At 40.6% G+C, this 19,698-nt stretch overlaps 1 protein-coding gene across 2 annotated transcripts in view, besides 1 other annotated feature; it reads left to right on the forward strand.

The window, feature by feature from the left end:
• The window catches only part of CFAP54 (cilia and flagella associated protein 54), a 385,979-nt gene that overhangs the window by 171,494 nt on the left and 194,787 nt on the right, over positions 1-19,698 (forward strand). For both annotated transcript variants that reach the window (NM_001367885.1, NM_001306084.2), the window contains exons 39-40: positions 2,760-2,862; positions 18,530-18,682. In NM_001367885.1, coding sequence (NP_001354814.1) covers positions 2,760-2,862; positions 18,530-18,682 — 256 coding nt within the window. The remainder of the gene's footprint in view (positions 1-2,759; positions 2,863-18,529; positions 18,683-19,698) is intronic.
• Positions 9,408-9,608: a silencer, noted in NCBI's record as "peak1903 fragment used in MPRA reporter construct". NCBI's record gives its function as "represses an SCP1 promoter by STARR-seq MPRAs in K562 erythroleukemia cells {active_cell/tissue: K562}" and the evidence as "EXISTENCE:reporter gene assay evidence [ECO:0000049][PMID:32103011]".

The raw sequence follows: 19,698 nt of genomic DNA on the forward strand, positions 1-19,698 counted from the left end.
TTTTTTTGTTTAATGGAGGTTTCATTATGGAAGCATAATTGATTAAATCATTGGCCATTGACAATCAGCTTAACCTTTCACCCCTCTCTTCTTTGCAGAGGTTGGGGAATAGGGCTGAAAGTTCTTATCCTGCCGTGGTCTTTCTGGTGAGCAGCCCCTATCCTGAAGCTACCTAGGGGTTGCCAGCCGTCAATCAACTTATTAGCATACAAAAAGATACCACTTTGGAGATTCCAAGGATTTTAGGAGTTGTATGTCAAGAAACAGGGACAAGACCAAATATATATTTTACAGTATCACATCTGTCTAGCTAGCTAGCTAGCTGGCTATCCATCAGAGGATTTACTACAAGAATTTGGCTTATATGATTGTGGAGGCCAGCTAAGCAAGCTTCAAATCCATAGGGCAGGCAGTCAGGATCATGAGCAGGAAGGAACCCCAGATGGACAGAGGTTGTTACTCATAGGCAGTCAGTGAGGGAAGATCCAGCCAGTAGAGGACAGTTGTAGAAGCAGCTGCTGCTGGTGTTTGAAGTCCTGGAGACTGCGGGCATGTTAGACTCATCTGCTTAGGTCAGGTCCACTGAGAGTAATCTCCCTTGTTTAAAGTCAATTTAATTAGTATCTGCAAAATCCCTTCACAGTAGCACCTAGTTTGATTGACTAACGGGGGTGAATTGTGTGTATGCCAGAAAGTAGATGCTTCCCTCTCTTTCCTCCTCATAGTTTAGCCCTAACCAAGTTGATCCATTAAAAAATCATCACACTGCCCAATCATCATCATTTCTTAGATGAAGAATACAATTTCTAAATTTAGCACATCTCAAACAAGCCTGTTCTGCTAAGTCTTCTTCAGTCAATGACAAGCCTCCTGTCCTGGCTGCCAGACACCTTGGAGACATCCCTGCCTCCTCTCTTGCTCTCACACCCCACTTCCAACTGGTTACCAAGAGCTCTACCCTCAAAATACAATCCAAATTGGAGCACTGCTCGCTACCTCCAACACTCCCTCTTTAATTACTATAGAATGCACCTCACTATTTGTTTATTATCCAAACCCTTGTTGTATTTGCTTGGGTTAATGCAGTGACTTCCTAATCACCCTGAACCCCACTTTCAGCCTATAATATATTCTTTTTGTTGTTGTTGTTTTGAGATGGAGTCTTAGTCTGTCACCCAGGCTGGAGTGCAGTGGAGCAATCTTGCCTCGCTGCAACCTCTGCCTCCTAGGTTGAAGCGATTTTCATGCCTCAGCTTCCTGAGTACCTGGGATTACAGGTGTGAGCCACCACACCTGGCTGATTTTTGTATTTTTAGTAGAGATGGGGTTTCACCATGTTGACCAGGTTGGTCTTGAACTCCTGACCTCAGGTGATCCACCTGCCTTGGCCTCCCAGAGTGCTGGGATTACAGGTGTGAACCACCACACCCAGCCTGTAATCTATTCTTAATGCAGCAGATACAATCACCTTTTAAACCCCAAGTCAGGTTCTGTCACACCTCTGTTTAAAACCCTATGGTGGCTTCCCACCCTATTCAGAGTAAAGTGAACATCTTTATCATGACCTTAATATAACTTATCCTATATAACATATCCCCCTGATCTCTCCAGTAACTCCTGTCCTATTACTCCCAGGCAGGTTTTCACCGCACTGTTGTGTGAGCTGTTCCTGCCTCAGGGTCTTTGTATTTGCTGTTGCCCCTGCTTGGAGTGCTGCTCCCCAAACATCCACATTGGATCCCTCACCTTTTCCCAATCTTTGCTAAATTTTACATTCTCTGTGAGGCTATTCCACACTATCATATTTACAACTATGTGCCTTTTTGCTCTATGTCTCTCTAGAGCATTTGCAATTCTTTAATATATTATATAATGTACCATACTATTTGTTTATTATCTGTCTTCTCCCACTAAGATGTTTCACAAGAGTGAGAGTTTTTATTTTGTTCTCTGCTACATCATCCCTTCTTCTTGTAACAGTGTTTGGCACGTAATAGGTGTTCAGTAAAGATCCGTTTAAGGAAGCTGGAGAAATAGAAAAGACTAGATCAAGTAGGGCCTTATGAGGTTGTGGGAAGAAATTTGTATTTTATTAGGCTGCATTTACTTCTCATTATAAAAGTACTACTCACAAGGGACAATAAAGAAGAAGCATCTATATCAGACTGGGGTTCCAGGAGGACTGTATTTTGAGTGATAGGTTAGTTCAAGGGATGGGAGTGAAGAAATGAAGAGAAGAGGGTCTTGGGCCCTTTAAAATAATTTTTGTCTTTTTAAAACTTTTCTGTTTTCAGATATTTTATTATCTTAGGACTCATATCTGTTAGAAAATAAATTATCAAAATACTACAGAGGAAGTTAGTTCTGAAAAACTTCACCAGGGAAAATAAAATTGCATTAATTATAAGTAGGGTGGAAAAATCTGCATTGGGAAAGCAGATTATTTTTTAACTTATATAATGGAAGATATATTTAGACCAGTGAATTTATAGAATATTAGGAAATCATATTCTAATTGCTCTACATAATTTGCCTAACGTTCTTCCAGCTGTGCTGTACAAAAGAAATATGAAAAATTATGGAGCTGCTTTTTTTCATGAAAGTTCTCATGATTAGACACTATTCTGCCAGCTTTTTTTGTAGCATTGTTATGTATCTCTTTATTCTGATAAATAAAAAATGAGAGAAACATTTCAAGTAAGCGAAATTTTTAACTATAAATACCCGACTAATATTTGTTTTCACCTTTCTTTTTAAAGATAACTTGCCGAAATTTCATTGGGAAGCAGCTTAAGATTAATTCTTCAACCATTGAAGCAACAAGCAACTGCACAGATTTGCTAAAAATGCTTATCTCTTCAGGTCAGAACCAATCTTAGCTTGAATGTTTGTTTTCTCTAAATCGAGGTTTGCCATTGTGTTCTGCATGTCAAACCTTCCATAATTAGTATGTTTGTAAAAATGTATTTTGCAGGTTTAGTTGACTAAAAATAATGCATTTGATTTTCGCCATCTTACGTTGCTATAAATGTTACTTAAGGGGGATTAAAACACATTTTATTTATTTTTATTTTAAACTTTTAAGTGCAGGGGTCCATGTGCAGGTTTGTTACATAGGTAAACTTGTGTCATGGGGGCTTGTTTTACAGATTATTTTATCACCCAGCTGTTAAGCCTAGGACCCATTAGTGATTTTTCCTGATCCTCTCCATCCTCTTCACCCTCTGATAGGCCAGAGTGTGTGTTATTCTCTTCTATGTGTCCATGTGTTCTTATTATTTAGCTCCTACTTATAAGTGAGGACATGTGGTATTTGGTTTTCTATTCCTGCATTCATTTCCTAAGGATAATGACCTGCAGCTCCATCCATGTTCCTGCCAAGGACATGATCTAATTCTTTTTTATGACTGCATAGTATTCCATGGTGTATATGTCTCACATTTTCTTTATCCAGTCTATCATCGATGGGCATTTAGGTTCATTCCACTTCTTTGCTAATTGCTCTACATAATTTGTCTAATGTTCTTCCAGCTGTGCCTTACCAAGAACGTATGTGTGTGTGTGTGTGTGTGTGTGTGTGTGTGTGTCTTTATAATAGAACAATTTATATTCCTTTGGGTATATATCTATATATATATATATATCTATATATATCTATATATATATATCTATATATATATATATCTATATATATCTATATCTATATCTATATATATATATATATATATATATATATATATATAGATATATATATGTATATCCCATAATGGGATTGCTAGGTCAAATGGTATTTCTGTCTTTAGGTCTTTCAGGAATTGCATCACTGTTTTCCACAATGGTTGAACTAATTTACACTCCCACTAACAATGTATAAGCGTTCGTTTTTCTCCACAACCTTGCCAGCATCTGTTGTTTTTTTACTTTTTACTAGCAGACATTCTGACTGGTGTGAGATGGTATCTCATTGTTGTTTTGATTTGCATTTCTCCAATGATCAGTGATACTGAGCTTTTTTTCATATGATTGTTGGCCACATGTATGTTTTTTTTTTTGAGAACTCTCTGTTCATGTCTTTTGCCCACTGTTTAATGGGGTTGTTTTTTTCTTGTAAATTTGCTTAAGTTCCTTATAGATGCTGGATATTAGACCTTTGTTGGATGCATAGTTTGGAAAAATTGTCTCCCACCATAGGGAGATATGTCTGTTTACAATGTTGATAGTTTCTTTTGCTGTGCAAAAGCTGTTTAGTTTAATTAGATCCCATTTGTCAATTTTTGCTTTTGTTGCAATTGCTTTTGACATCTTCATCGTGAAATCTTTGCCTGTGCCTATGTCCTGAATGGTATTGCCTAGGTTGTCTTCCAGGGCTTCTATAGTTTTGGGTTTTGCAATTAAGTCTTTAATCCATCTTGAGTTAGTTTATGTATATAGTGTAAGGAAGGGGTTTAGTTTCAATCTTCTATATATGTCCAGCCAGTTATCCCAGCACCATTTATTGAATAGGGAATTTTTTTCCTATTGCTTGTTTTGTCAAGTTTGTTGAAGATTAGATAGTTTTAGATGTGCAGTCTTATTTCTCAGCTCTCTATTCTGTTCCACTGGTGTACGTGTCTCTTTTGTACCAGCACCATGCTGTTTTGGTTACTGTAGCCCTGTAGCATAGTTTTGAAGTCAGGTAGTGTGATGCCTCCAGCTTTGTCCTTTTTGCTTAGTATTATCTTGGCTATTCAGGCTCTTTTTTGGTTCCACATGAGTTTTCAAATAGGTTTTTCTTATTCTGTGAAGAATCTCAATGGTAGTTCAATAGGAATAGCAGTGAATCTCTAAATTGCTTTGGGCAATATGACTGTTTTAATGATATTGATTCTTCCTATCCATGAACATGGAATGTTTTTCCATTTGTTTGTGTCATCTCTGATTTCTTTGAGCAGTGGTTTGTGGTTCTTTTAGAGACCTTTCACTTCCATATTTAGCTGTATTCCTAAATATTTTATTCTTTTTGTAAAATGCATTTTTAAAAAGTTCAATCTGTAAGTTAGATAAGAGAAATAAAAGGAAAAGAGATATTGATAGGCAAAAACAAAGATGGAAAAAGGTTGTTTTGCACATTTTTTTCTTCTTTTTATCTTATTTATGAATGCTTTTGGTATTTGGCCTTTTGCTATTTTCCTTATTCTGTTTCAAGTCCCATAATAGCTTCCATTTCCATAATCAATATAGATTATTCTATTAGTTTTACTATGGTTAAGTTGTAGACCTTTTAACTAGAGCACAGGAGAAGATTTGGGAATGTCATGACTTCTTTGCTTTTAACTGATAAGCCCTGGATTAGTCAGTTCTCATGCTGCTCATAAAGACATACCTGGGACTGGATAATTTATAAACAAAAAGAGGTTTAATGAATTCACAGTTCCAGATGGCTGGAGAGGCCACACAATCACGGAAGAAGGCAAAGGAGGAGCAAAGGCACATCTTACATGGCGGCAAGCTGGAGAGCATGTGCAGGGGAACTGCCCTTTATAAACCATCAGATATCGTGAGACTTATTCACTATCATGAGAACAACATGGGAAAATCCACCCCGATGATTCAGTTACCTCCCACTGGGTCCCTCCCACCACATGTGGGGATTATGGAAGCTACAATTCAAGATGAGATTTGGGTGGGGATACAGCCAAACCATATCATTCTGCCCCTGACCCCTCCCAAATCTCATGTCCTCACATTTCAAAACCAATCATGCCTTCCCAACAGTCCCCCAAAGTTTTAACTTATTTCAGAATTAACTCAAAAGTCCACAGTCCAAAGTCTCATCTGAGGCAAGGCAAGTCCTTCAGCCTATGAGCCTGTAAAATCAAAAGCAAGTTAGTTACTTCCTAGATACAGTGGGGGTACAGGCATTGGACAAATACACCCATTCCAAATGGAGAAATTGGCCAAAACAAGTAAATCCAAAATCCAATAAGGCAGTCATTAAACCTTAAAGTTCCAAAATGATTACCCTTGACTCCATGTCTTACATCCAGGCCATGCTGATGCAAGAGGTGGGCTCCTACAGCCTTGTGGGTTTGCAGGGTATGGCCTCCCTCCCGGCTGCTTTCACAGGCTGGTGTTGAGTGTCTGTGGCTTTTCTGTGCACACAGTGCAAGCTGTCACCGGATCTATCATTTTGAGGTCTGGAGGATGGTGGCCGTCTTCTCACAGCTCCACTAGGCAGTACCCCAGTGGAGACTCTGTGTGGGGGCTCCAACCCCACATTTCCCTTCTGACTACCCTGACAGAGGTTCTCCATGAGGGACCCACCCCTGCAGGAAACTTCTGCCTGGACATTCAGGTGTTTCCATATATCCTCTGAAATCTAGGTGGATGTCCCAAATCTCAGTTCTTGACTTCTGTGCACCTGCAGACTCAACACCATGTGGAAACTTCCAAAGCTTGGGGCTTGCACCCTCTGAAGCCATGGCCCGAGCTGTACCTTAACCCCTTCTAGCTATGGCTGGAGCAGCTGGGATGAAGGGCACCAAATCCCTAGGCTGCACACAGCAGTGGGGCCCTTGACCTGACCCAGGAAATCCTTTTTCTCTGGTAGGCCTTTGGGTCTGTGATGGGAGGGGCTGCTGCGAAGGTCTCTAACATGATGTGGAGACATTTTCCCCATTGCCTTGGTGAGTAACATTTGGATCCTTGTTACTTATGCAAATTTCTGTAGCCTGCTTGAATTTCTCCTCAGAAAATGGGTTTTTCTTTTGTACTGCATTGTCAGGCTGTAGATTTTCCCAATGTTTATGCTCTGTCACCTCTTGAACACTTTACTCCTTAGAAATTTCTTCTGCCAGATACACTAAATCATCTCTCAAGTTCAAAGTTCCACAGATCTCTAGGGCAGGGGCAAAATGCTGCCAGTCTCTTTGCATAGCAAGAGTGACCTTTACTCCAGTTTCCAACAAGTTCCTCATCTCCATCTGAGACCACCTCAGCCTGGACTTTGTTGTCCATATCACTATCAACATTTTGGTCAAAGCCATTCAACAAGTCTCTAGGAAGTTCCAGACTTTCCCACATCTTCATTTCTTCTGAGCCCTGTAAATCTCTAGGAAGTTCCAAAGTTTCCCACAATTTCCTGTCTTCTTCCGAGCCCTCCAAACTGTTCCAACCTCTGCCTGTTACCCAGTTCCATAGTTGATTTCACATTTTCAGGTATCTTTATAGCAGCACCCCACTACCTGGTACCAGTTTACTGTATTAGGCCATTCTCATGCTGCTAATAAAGACTTACCCAAGACTGGATAATTTATAAAGAAAAAGAAGTTTAGCAGACTCAGTTCCACGAGGCCTCACAATCATGGTGGAAGGAGAAGGAGGAGCAAAGGCACATCTTATATGGTGGCAGGCAAGAGAGTGTGTGCAGGGGAACTCCCATTTATAAAACCATCAGATCTCATGAGACTTATTCATTATCATGAGAACAGCAGGGGAAAAACCAACCCCCATGATTCAATTACCTTCCACTGGGTTCTTCCCATGACACATGGGGATTATGGGAGCTACAATTCAAGATGAGATTTGGGTGGGGACATAGCCAAATTGTATTAAGCCCTTTTGGAATGTTTTTGGCCATGCAGCTTGTAGGAATGATGCAATAGAATGAGATGAAAATGGAAATAATACTTTCTCTAAATTGCATTTTTCATGTGTCTCTGTTTCTGGTATCAAAAAGCCATGTAAGTCTTCCCTTTGAAGTGTTAGGATTCTTTCACTTATTCATCTATTCATTTTATGTTTGTATATGCGTATAAATGTAAGCATTCATTCATTTATTTATGGAGCCAGTCAGCTAGTCATTCAGCAAACATTTACTGAGTATCTGCTATGTGTGAAGTGCCTGTACTAGGTACTGAGGATATAAAGATGAATAAGACTAAAGATTTGTTGCCCAGGAGTTTAGGGTCCATTAAAGGAGATGAATAAAAAACCCAGAGATTATAGTATAGAGTGATAAGATATGTAATGTTATTACTACTGCTGCTGCCATAAACAATAATAGTTAACAGCTAGCACCTGCTTTTGTGAGACTGCAAGAAATCCAGTGGGGCTAACAGCAAAGGAAAAGGCAAAAGCTGAGGTTAGAAAGGTTGGCAGAAATTAGATAATAAACTCTCTTAGAGGGAAGGATAGAGATCTAGTTTTATCTGGAGAACTGAGGGGAGCTAGTTAAAAGGATTTAAAGAAAGAAAGTGAAATGATCACATTGGCATTCTTTTCACTTGATCTTAGCCCAAAGGCCGAGAAGTGTTATATTTGCGTGTTTTTGAAAACCTTTGTCAGCTGCGTGGGAAACAGATTGAAAGGAGACCAAATGGAAGTAGGAGAGTGGCCACTGCTTTCTTGTGTCTTAAAGTAGAGATGATGAAAGCCTGGACTTGGGTGGTCAGCATAGAGGAGGGGACAGATGTGAAGGAGAGACAGAGGATGTCCACAGGACTGTGATCCACACTGGCTGGAGGTGGCGGATGGGTGAGGAAGGGAGGAGTTCAAGTCGCCTTGGTTTCTGGCTTGGGTAGCCAGATGGATGATGATGCCTTCACCCAGACAGGAAAACTGGAGAGGGGCAGGTTAGAGGAAAAGGTCGCTTTGGAATTACTTGCTTGGATTTAGTTCATCCAAACTTGGATGACAATGAGTAGAGCTATCCAGTGTATGGTTGGATATACTAATGCGGCACTCAGGAGAGAGCAGATTGGAGATTTGTATTTTAGTCATCAATGTATTGGTGGTGGTTGAAGTCAAGGGTTTGGATGAGGTCACCCAGGGAGAGTTACATGGAGCATAAACTTGAGGATGGCGTCCTGGATAGCACCAACATTTAGGAAGCTGCGTCAGTCAAAATAGGCTTCAGCTATACAGCAGTAACAAACAAGTGTCATTGCTTTAACACAATGGAAAGTCTGTTTCCTGTGCATGCTACTGTGTTCAGTGAGGTTGAATCCTGGGCTGCTCATCATGGTGGAATCTCCAGCTTGGTGCAAGCTTCCGTGGGTTGTTTCCAAGTCAGAAAACATAATTTTAATGTTATCTTCTAGGAGTGTATACAGAGAGGCATGTGGTGAACCCCTGTAGAGTCATGGGCTATGGGCACAGCCTTTGCTAGACCATATGTACATATACCGTATGCTTTATGTTAAGGGCTTTTCATGGATTATCATGTTTAATTACTATAACAACCCCAATAAAAGAATTATAATTATGCATTGCACATCAGGGACTCTTATGAATGCTTTGTGAATATTAGCTTACAGTCACCTAATGAGGTAGGTTTGTTATTGTCTCTATTTTTCAGGCAGGAAAAAGATGTTGTAAATCTTGCTCTAGCTCTTAAAGCTGTGACTTGAAAGTGACACAGGTCATGTCTGTTGACATTTCATTGACCACAGTCACATGGCCACACCTAACTTCAAAAGGGGTAGACAAGTATGTTCCTATGCTGTACTCAAGATAAAGAGGTACAGAGTGTGTGAAGGCCCTAATGACTGTCATGGGAACAAACAGAGGAAGAGCAGGACTTGAAAGAGATTGGGATGAGGCCTAAGAGCTGGGAAATGTAACAGGAGAGTAGTATAAACAAGGCCAAGGCAAGAGACAGTGCTAAGGAAAAGGAAGCAGTCAACTATCATAGAGAGAGAGAAGTCACATAAGATGAGGACGGACTGTTGTGTTTGGCAGTTTAGGTGGTCATTGTCACCGGCCTTTTTGCTGTGACACCGCCAGCATAGGGCCTTGTTCTAGCTGTTTTCTCTTCCTGAAATGCTCTTTCTCAATTCAGATGTCTGACTAATGAGCTCATCATCTTCTTTATGTTGTTATGTACCTCTCATCTTTTCAATGAGGCTTACCCTGAGCATTCAGTATTTATTTTTTTATTTATTTATTTAGATGAAGTCTTGCTCCAGGCTGGAGTGTAGTAGTGCTATCCCAGCTCACTGTAACCTCCATCTCCTGGGTTCAAGCGATTCTCCTGCCTCATCCTCCTGAGTAGCTGGGATTACAGGCACCTGCCACCACGCCTGGCTAATTTTTATATTTTAGTAGAGATGGGGTTTCACCATGTTGGCCAGGCTGGTCTCGAACACCTGACCTCAAGTGATCCACTCGCCTTGGCCTCCCAAAGTGCTGGGATTACAGGCATGAGCCACTGCTCCCAGCCTGAGCATTCAGTTTAAAACTGAACCCTGCCTGCTTCCTCCCAATTCCCTTTACTCTGCCATATGTTTTCTTTTTTTCTGAAGCACTTCTCACCATCTATTATATGGTATAATTTAGGGGTTTTTTTTGTGTGTTTATTGATAACTAATCTGTTCCTCCTGATAAAACGTAAGCTTTATGAGGGCAGGGATTATTGTTTTGTTCACAGATATAACCCAGTTGTCTTCATCAGTGTCTGATATATAGTAGGAACTTAGTATCTCTTTGCTGAATGAATGACTTTGTGACCTTAGAAATGGTGGGGAGGGAGTATTTTGAGTGGTGCATGCAGCAGTGGTGAGCTGTACCTATAGAAAGTCATTGAATAGAGGCCAGGCGTGGTGGCTTACGCCTGTAATCCCAGCACTTTGGGAGGCCAAGGCGAGTGGATTGCTTGAGGTCAGAAGTTTGAGACCAGCCTGGCCAACACGGTGAAACCCCGTCTCTACTAAAAATATAAAACTTAGCTGGGCGTGGTGGCAGGCGCCTGTAATCCCAGCTACTCGGGAGGCTGAGGAAGGAGAATCACTTGAACCCAGGAGGTGGAGGTTGCAGTGAGCCAAGATCGTGCCATTGCACTCCAGCCTGCATGACAAGAGTGAAACTCTTATCTCAAAAAAGAGAGAGAGAGAGAGAGAGAAGGAAAGAGAAAGAAAGAAAGAGAGAGAGAGAGAAAGAAAGAAAGAAAAAGAAAGAAAGAAATTGAATAGAGAATTGCTTTTCAAGTAACTTAGCACCGTCAGGAACTGGCAGGAAATGTAGAGCTGGGGGTGGTGGCTCAGGAGGGCTTTGTTTTGTTTGTATGTCTTTTTAATACAAGGAAAAAAAAGGATATTTACATATTAACTAGAAAAAGCCAGTAAAGAGGGAGAGCTTATAGATAGGAGAGAAAAGTATTGGATAGAGCAAGGACCTTGAGACAAAAGGCAGAGAGAGAGAGTGGGATACAGGGGGATTATGCTTAGACAGGAGGGTGAGACATCTTTTCTGCTAAGGCAGAAAGAAAGGAAAGAATAAACCCAAGCAGGGAAGTGTGTAGGTGGTAAAGGTAGAGATGGAAAGCATTCTCATTGGGTACTGGAAGTTTTCTCAATGAAGCAAGGGGCTGCGAGTATAGCCAATATTGATTGGGTTGGAGATTTCAGAAGGAATGAAAGAGTGGGCTGACTGATAAAGTCATAGGAGAAAGGAAGGGAGAAGGGTTGTAGAGTAATTTAGAGGGTCCAATGAGTGAGATTGGTGACCGTGAATTTGTAGGTGTTACTGCCAATGATAATCAGATTACCCCTCATAGTCAGAAACAATGGGAAGACCACCTTCTTATGGTCAATCATGTGTGATGAGTTTTTTTCAGAGTACAGTTCTTCCTGGGTGTGTTCTTTTATTGAGCTTGTCTGTGAAACCTGGGGAATTCTCCTACTTTGGGATCCATAACTCAAAATGTGATTTATGTTATCCCTTCCATCTTAAAAAGAGTTGCTACAAATGTGAGAAAATATGTGAAAAATGGTTGTTATCAAAATGATGACTAGCATCAAAGGGATAAGAAAAACATATCTAGTAAAATTCTAGACCTGTGTACCTGTAGATGTTTACTGATGATAGGTGCAATATATCAGAAAAGCACTTTGTTTGCCTCCTGTTAAAGTTACATTTGGAAAGGCAAGAGGGTGGCAGTGGGACAGAAGGGAAGGGAAGTGCAGTCAGGCTACAGTAATCCTTTGGGTTGATTCTCAATGGCGGTAGAGGCACAGACAGTTTGAGCAGTCATTAGAACAGGAATATTTGAATAGATAAAATTTTCTAAATACTGTAATGACAGTAATAATTTATTGAGCTGGAACTATATTTAGCTTCTTTAATTTTTACAGTCAAAGGAGGTAGATATTATTATGCTTATATTGCACATGAGAAAATTAAACATTACTAGTAAGTGGTGGGCCTGTGATTCAAACCCTGCTTTAATTACTCAATCCTTGAGTGCTCCACTGTGCTACCTGGCCTCTTCTCCGTTGCTCCCTTTCAGATTGGAATTGCCTCTAAATTTACAGCATTCAAGAAGAAGTTTGCTGTATTTCAGTGGTCACTGAAGACAGACACTTTATTCTGACTTACTGTGATAGTGTGGTAATTTTTAGATGATCCTGTATATTAATTATAGGTTTTACATGGAATTGTTATCATTAAAAGGTTAGCATCCAACTTGTAGCTCTCTCTAAGATTTTAGGACCTCTGTTATTGGGAATGTTTTTTGGTCTATGCTCTTGGGTTTATTTGGCAAAGTTTTAGAATGCTGAATTTTTCCAGTATACTGAACTCAGATCATCAACATATTTATAAGCATGTTGGGTCTTATGTATGTCATCACCCTGATATGTTTGCAATTCTTTTAAAAGACAGAGTACTCATGATGGTTTCCACACCAGATCGCTGCTTTAGACCATCATAGATTTTCTTTCGGCATAATGGCATTTAGTGGTGATGCGATACATTTAATTCTTCAGAATAGATATTGCAATGCTCCAGTGCCTAGGAACATTTGGTGTACTCATTATTTAACAGCATCCTATTCTCCCTTCAACTATTTAATAATGCATATGTAATTTGGTATAGTCTCTGTAGGATTTGGAGAAGTGAGAACACCTCACTTTATAGATATTCTTGTATGGGTGAGTAACTTGCCTGCTTGTTAAGCTCCATAGGGGAGATAACTCCATGGATATGCCTTTTATTGAAGCTGTTTTTGCATTCTGCCTGGGATCACTCTCTTGAGTTTTGACCTTACTGGTGTTTAAGTTCTCTGGTAGAGTTATTCAGTCCTCAGGTGTGTTGGAATTTTCAGCCCTTTGGCAGGTGTGTTTGATTAGTGCCTTTGGGCATTTGGATTGATGTGGCCTCGAGTGTAGGAAGCAGCCCAAATTTCAGATCACTTGCTGGGATCCTTCCGTGGTGGACCCCTTTCTCAGGAGTCATTGGCATTTCAGCTTTCATTTCTAGAGTGGTACAATGAAAGACACAATGTTTTTCTTTTTTTTTTTTTTTTGCTTCTTCTCCTCCTTCTTCTTTCTTACCTATTTCAAACTGTTGAGGCTACTAGTGCCTTTGGAATAGCTTCTTAAATTATCCATGGACGTTTTCAGAGAGGAAACCCCTTGAGGCAGAGCTGTCAAGATAAGGGCCCTGAAGCTAATGCCGCCTCCTCATTGCTTTGCATCATTTATCTCATGTAGACAGCCACACCACCACCAACAGAACCCTAATTAGACAACCAGGAAAAAGATCTGCAGGGCTTGAAAAAAGGGGAGAAAAAGAAAGTGAAATATAGTTTAGGAAGAACACAAAGAGGAATTATTTATCAGCCAGATAAAAAAGTAGTGGGATGATTTTATTCAGACTGTTCTTGTTATAAATAAAAATTTTCAGATTTTATTCTAGAATGTAAGCTTGGTGAGAATAGAGACTGTCTGTTTTGTTCACTTGTGTCTCCCTTTGGTGCCAGGCACAGTGCCTAGTACTTGTGAGCACTCAATTTATACCTATTTAATAAATGGTGCTGGGAAAACTGGCTAGCCATATGTAGAAAGCTGAAACTGGATCCCTTCCTTACACCTTATACAAAAATTAATTCGAGATGGATTAAAGACTTAAATTTTAGACCTAAAACCATAAAAACCCTAGAAGAAAACCTAGGCAATACCATTCAGGACATAGGCATGGGCAAGGACTTCATGTCTAAAACACCAAAAGCAATGGCAACAAAAGCCAAAATTGACAAATGGGATCTAATTAAACTAAAGAGCTTCTGCACAGCAAAAGAAACTACCATCAGAGTGAACAGGCAACCTACAGAATGGGAGAAAATTTTTGCAATCTACTCATCTGACAAAGGGCCAATATCCAGAATCTACAATGAACTCAAACAAATTTACAAGAAAAAAACAAACAACCCCATCAACAAGTTGGCAAAGGATATGAACAGACACTTCTCAAAAAAAGATATTTATGCAGCCAAAAGACACATGAAAAAATGCTCATCATCACTGGCCATCAGAGAAGTGCAAATCAAAACCACAATGAGATACCATCTCACACCAGTTAGAATGGCGATCATTAAAAAGTCAGGAAACGACAGGTGCTGGAGAGGATGTGGAGAAATAGGAACACTTTTACACTGTTGGTGGGAAAGTAAACTAGTTCAACCATTGTGGAAGTCAGTGTGGCGATTCCTTAGGGATCTAGAACTAGAAATACCATTTGACCCAGCCATCCCATTACTGGGTATATACCCAAAGGATTATAAATCATGCTGCTATAAAGACACATGCATAAGTATGTTTATCGCAGCACTATTCACAATAGCAAAGACTTGGAACCAAGCCAAATATCCAACAATGATAGACTGGATTAAGAAAATGTGGCACATATACACCATGGAATACTATGCAGCCATAAAAAATGATGAGTTCATGTCCCTTGTAGGGACATGGATGAAGCTGGAAACCATCATTCTCAGCAAACTATCGCAAGGACAAAAAACCAAACACTGCATATTCTCACTCACAGGTGGGAATTGAAGGATGAGAATACATGGACCCAGGAAGGGGAACATCACACACCGAGGCCTGTTTTGGGGTGGGGGGCAGGGGAGGGATAGCATTAGGAGATATACCTAATGCTAAATGACGAGTTAGTGGGTGCAGCACACCACCATGGCACATGTATACATATGTAACAAACCTGCATGTTGTACACGTGTACCCTAAAACTTAAAGTATAATAAAAAAAGATACATGACCAGTAGTCATGATGTGAGTCTTCATCTGCTGAATGCTTACTCCATGACAGGCTCTGTGCTAGACACTCTGCACCTCCACACACAGGTTAAAATAGTAACCCTCTGAGCCATCCTGATTTTGGTGAGAGGGATGCTCTGGAAATAAATAGGACAGGGACAAGCCTGAGAAAAGTTAATGAAGGAAGAATTATCATCCCAGTTTTAACAGATATTTAAAACTATGGCTTAGAGAAGGTAACTATCTCATATTATTATATGTGGGGGCTTCCAGCTTTCCTCCTTTCATTTGCTTGCTGTTATGGGCTGAATATTTGTGGTCCCCCCCACCTAAATGTTAAAATCCTCACCCCTAATATGATGATCTTAGGAGGTGGGTCCTTTGGAGGATAAATTAGGTCATGAGGGTGGAGCCCTTATGAATGGCATTGGTGTCTTTACTTTTATTTAGTTATTTTTTTTGAGATGGAGTTTCATTCCGTCGCTCAGGCTGGAGTGCAGCGGCACAATCTCAGCTCACTGCAACCTCCACCTCTGGGGTTCAAGCGATTCTCCTGCCTCAGCCTCCTGAGTAGCTGGGACTACAGGCGCCTGCCACAAGACCTGGCTAATTTTTGTATTTTTAGTAGAGATGGGGTTTCACCTTGTCTCCTGACCTGAGGTGATCCATCTGCCTTGGCCTCCCAAAGAGCTGAGATTATAGGCATGAACCACCACACCCAGCTTGGTGTCTTTACAAAAGAGACCCCAGGTTGCTCTGTAGCCCGCTTCTATCATGGGAGGGAGGACCAATGAGAAGGTAACCGTCTGCGAGCCAGGGAGAGGGCCCTCACCAGAATCTACCATTCTGGTCTCCTGATCTCAGACTTCTAGCCCCAAATATCTGTGCAAAATAAATTTCTTTTCTTTTCTTTTTTTTGAGACAAGGTCTCACTCTGTCACCCAGGCTGGAGTGCAATAGCATGATCATAGCTCACTGTAGCCTGGAACTCCTGGGCTCAGGTGATCCTCCCACTTCAGCCTCCCAAGTAGCTAGGACTACAGGCACATGCCCCTGCACCCAGCTAACTTATTTTATTTTATTTTTTTTGTAGAGACAGGGTCTTGCTTTATTGTCCAGGCCTGTCTTGAACTCCTGGCTTCAAGGGATCCTCCCTGCCTCATCCTCCCAAAGTGCTGGGATTACAGGCATGAGCCACAGCACCTGATGAGAAATAAATTTCTGTTGTTTATAATCCACCCAGTCTATGGTAATTTCTCATAGCAGTTTCAACTGACTGAGATATTTGCTTAACTTCTTTTCCTGATCTCATTCTCTAAGGAGAAAAAGATAAAAGCCAAGCTCATGAATTCTTCTAAGAAAAATAGAGAAACAGAGCAGAAACCTACAATCTTCGGGGTGTTGTGGATGAGGGTGGGGGCATGAGGAGTAGGAGGTCTGCCTGCCTGGGACCATGCAAGACTGGGCATGGCTTAGCAGAGAGGGACACTAAGGAGGGAGATGGTGGGGACAGGGCAGAGCAGACAGGAGACTGAAACTGGTAAGGAAGAAGAATGAGAGCTTCCAGGGAGTTCACAAGAACCACTTTGGCCTAAGTATTTGATTCTCTTAAATGTGTGATAGGGAATTGTGTCAAGACTGAATTTGCAGGGGAAACAATTACTTCTGTCAATGCGGCCATGTCCCTGGTTTGACTGAAGCCTCCAGGATTTCTGGACATTAGGGTATGTTGAAAGATGCTGTCTCTGTGGCCACAGAAAGTAACCCTGTGTTACTTATTCCATCAGGACCTCCCTGCTCCCTGGGCTCATAATGACTCCAGGTTTCTTCCCTTATTAACTTTCTTTAGGCTCATTCCCATCCTATTCTCGAGGCATCTCTGTGCCCAAATCTGGGTTACAAATCTGGGTCATTGTCTGTTACCCAAGATTTGTTGTCCTTTGGTGAATCATCTGGGGAAGGCACTGGACTTGAACACCGGTTCTTCCATTCATCTCTTCTTAAGGGCTTCAAACAAGTTCATACCCCTCAACTTCACTTTTCCTCCTTTGTAAAGCGTCAGTGATTTCTACTCCTGACCATTTTTAAGGTGCTGTGAGGATCAACTGAGATTAACCTTTAGAAGTGGTTAACTTCTATACCCCTTCGTTTTTGTATTTTTAATTAATTTTTTTCTGAGACGGAGTCACCCAGGCTGGAGTGCAGTGGCGCAATCTTGGTTCACTGCAACCTCCACCTCCCAGGTTCAAGTGATTTCCCCTGCCTCAGCCTCTTCAGTTGCTGGGATTACAGGCATGCATCATCATGCCTAGCTAATTTTTGTATTTTTAGTAGAGACGGGGTTTCACCGTGTTGGCCAGGATGGTCTCAAACTCCTAACCTCAAGTGATCCACCTGCCACGGCCTCCCAAAGTTCTGGGATTACAGGTGTGAGCTGCCTCACCCTGCCTAGCTATTCCTGTTCTTATTCTAACTATCTAGAGCCACTTGTCTCTTTTGTCCTAATCAAGTTTTCCCTATCCTCGAAGGCACAGCTGGCCTATCTTCTCTTCCACAAGGTCTTTGTTGCTCACCTTTTCCTGCCTACACTGATCTCTGTCTTCCATCTTTCCCTTATTTTGGCATGTAACCAAATATTCCCTGCAAATGTGACTTTATTACTCCAGTGTTGGAGTGTCCCATCCCTTCAGCTAGATAGTGAATTTCTTGAGGGCAAAGACCATGCCTCTTAACCTCTTCCAACTTACCATGTAAGTTGCTATACTGTTAAGACCTTAGATTTTACAGGGGGGCTTCCACTTGTTCAACTTGTTGAAGAAATACATTCTTTTGTTTTCAGTCCTGCAAACTGTGATTCCTCTCTCTTGGTCCTGCTTCATGATGTATGCAGCAATGCTGCAGCTGAAGTCCCAGGCCCTCACTCACTCTTCAGAGACCTCGAAGCAACTCTCTCCCACTATCTCCCCTTTCTGGGCACTTTTCAGGACAGTTAGTTAGTTCTATACCCACTCCTGGGTCCCCCTCTTCCTTTCCTCTGCACCTTTCAGTATTAGGAATCTGTCTTTTCCTTCCCTTCCGAGAGCAGATGCCCATCTCCAAGCAACTTTATTTCTTCCTTTGTTTCTTCTTTTTGTCTCTTTCCCAAGGCACCTTTGCTTTGAAGAGGCTGCTGAAAAGGAGTAGATTATTTCATTTTTTATGATCAGCAAAAGAAAAAGGAGGCTTCATGGGGAAAATTGGCAAGATCTAAAGTTATTTGCATTTCATAAGAATCAAAAGTTTTCCAAGCTTTTTTTTTTTTTAAAAGGACCTTCTGGTATACTAAAAGAAAAAAAAAATTGATCTGAATGTTGAAACACCTGCTGCAGATCTGGGGGCTTTGAATTTAGCGGCTTTAGGTTGGGACCAAGAAATTCTCTGAATTATAAACTTGCTGGCTCTTACCTTGGCTTGGTGCAGCATTTCATCCCCAATATTCCGCTTTTCTTTCCTTTCAGAATACAGCCGAGCCAAAGCGCTTGTCTGCGTGCCCGTGGACGTGACAGACACCTTGAGGTGTTTTAGAGAGACACTGGAAAAATCCAAATACCATAACAGATCAATCCGACACAGCAGAAAGTTGCTTTCATTATTTCTTGCACAGACACAAGGTAAAATGCATGTTCTGTATCTCTGAATCTTTCTTTATGTGGGGTGACCACCCTGCAGATGTCCCTCTTCTGCCCTCTCATTCTTCCCTCCCCGTGTACATGCAACACTCCCTGATGCCTTTCACTTTCCTCTTGTCCAGTGGATCTATTCTGTGTCTTACACTTTAACCAATGCACTTTCTCACTCACTCGCTTTTATGCTTTCTGTGAAACTATCAAACTCTCTTGAGTGTATTAGATGTGACAATATTCATTAATTTTTGATTCTGTACATTTATGTTCTTCTTACAGTTTTCTTTAGGTGTGGCACTATGGTCTTGTTTTACTTCATAAGTAGACGGATTGAATCACACTGAGTTAACTAGAACCTTTTGCCAAAACACTACTTTATCAGTGGCAAAGAAATGGGTACCTTTTAAAGCAAGCATCAACAAGATTTCTTATTAATACTATAGATTTTGCTCTTAGGGCTTTTATTTTAGCTTAAAGCAAGATATTCACTATTGTTGGTTGCATTGCATTTATTTGTTTTCTCTTGTAACATCTATCTGCTTGTGAATTCAAGCAAAGCTGGGCTTTGAGTGATTAAATGGTAACCTCAGAGAAGAGTACATTCAAATTTAGGCTGGAAAAATCCTGAACTATCTATACTTAACTTATTTAAAATTTTTAAAAATCCTGTTTTATATTTATGATTCTTGCTATTCAAATTGGTCAGAATAATAAGAATAAATTTAAATAATAGACAAATACATGTAAAATAATATAAAGTTATTAAAAACAGATTTAAACTTATACTTAATTAAAATGCTAATTTCCACTGAAATGATCTTTTAGAAATTTGACCAATTGTTTTTACAAATGCAGACAGAGTTTTATTTATTTACATATTTATTTGTTTGTTGTTGTTGCCCACCCCCCACACTTTCTATGATATGTATCCATAGTTTTTGGTTATATTGTCTGCAGACTCACATTATGTTAAATTAGTTCTCCATATCCTGTTTGGCTTCTTT

The sequence above is a fragment of the Homo sapiens genome, chromosome 12, assembly GCF_000001405.40.
Source record: "Homo sapiens chromosome 12, GRCh38.p14 Primary Assembly".
NCBI classification, from domain to species: Eukaryota; Metazoa; Chordata; class Mammalia; order Primates; family Hominidae; genus Homo; species Homo sapiens.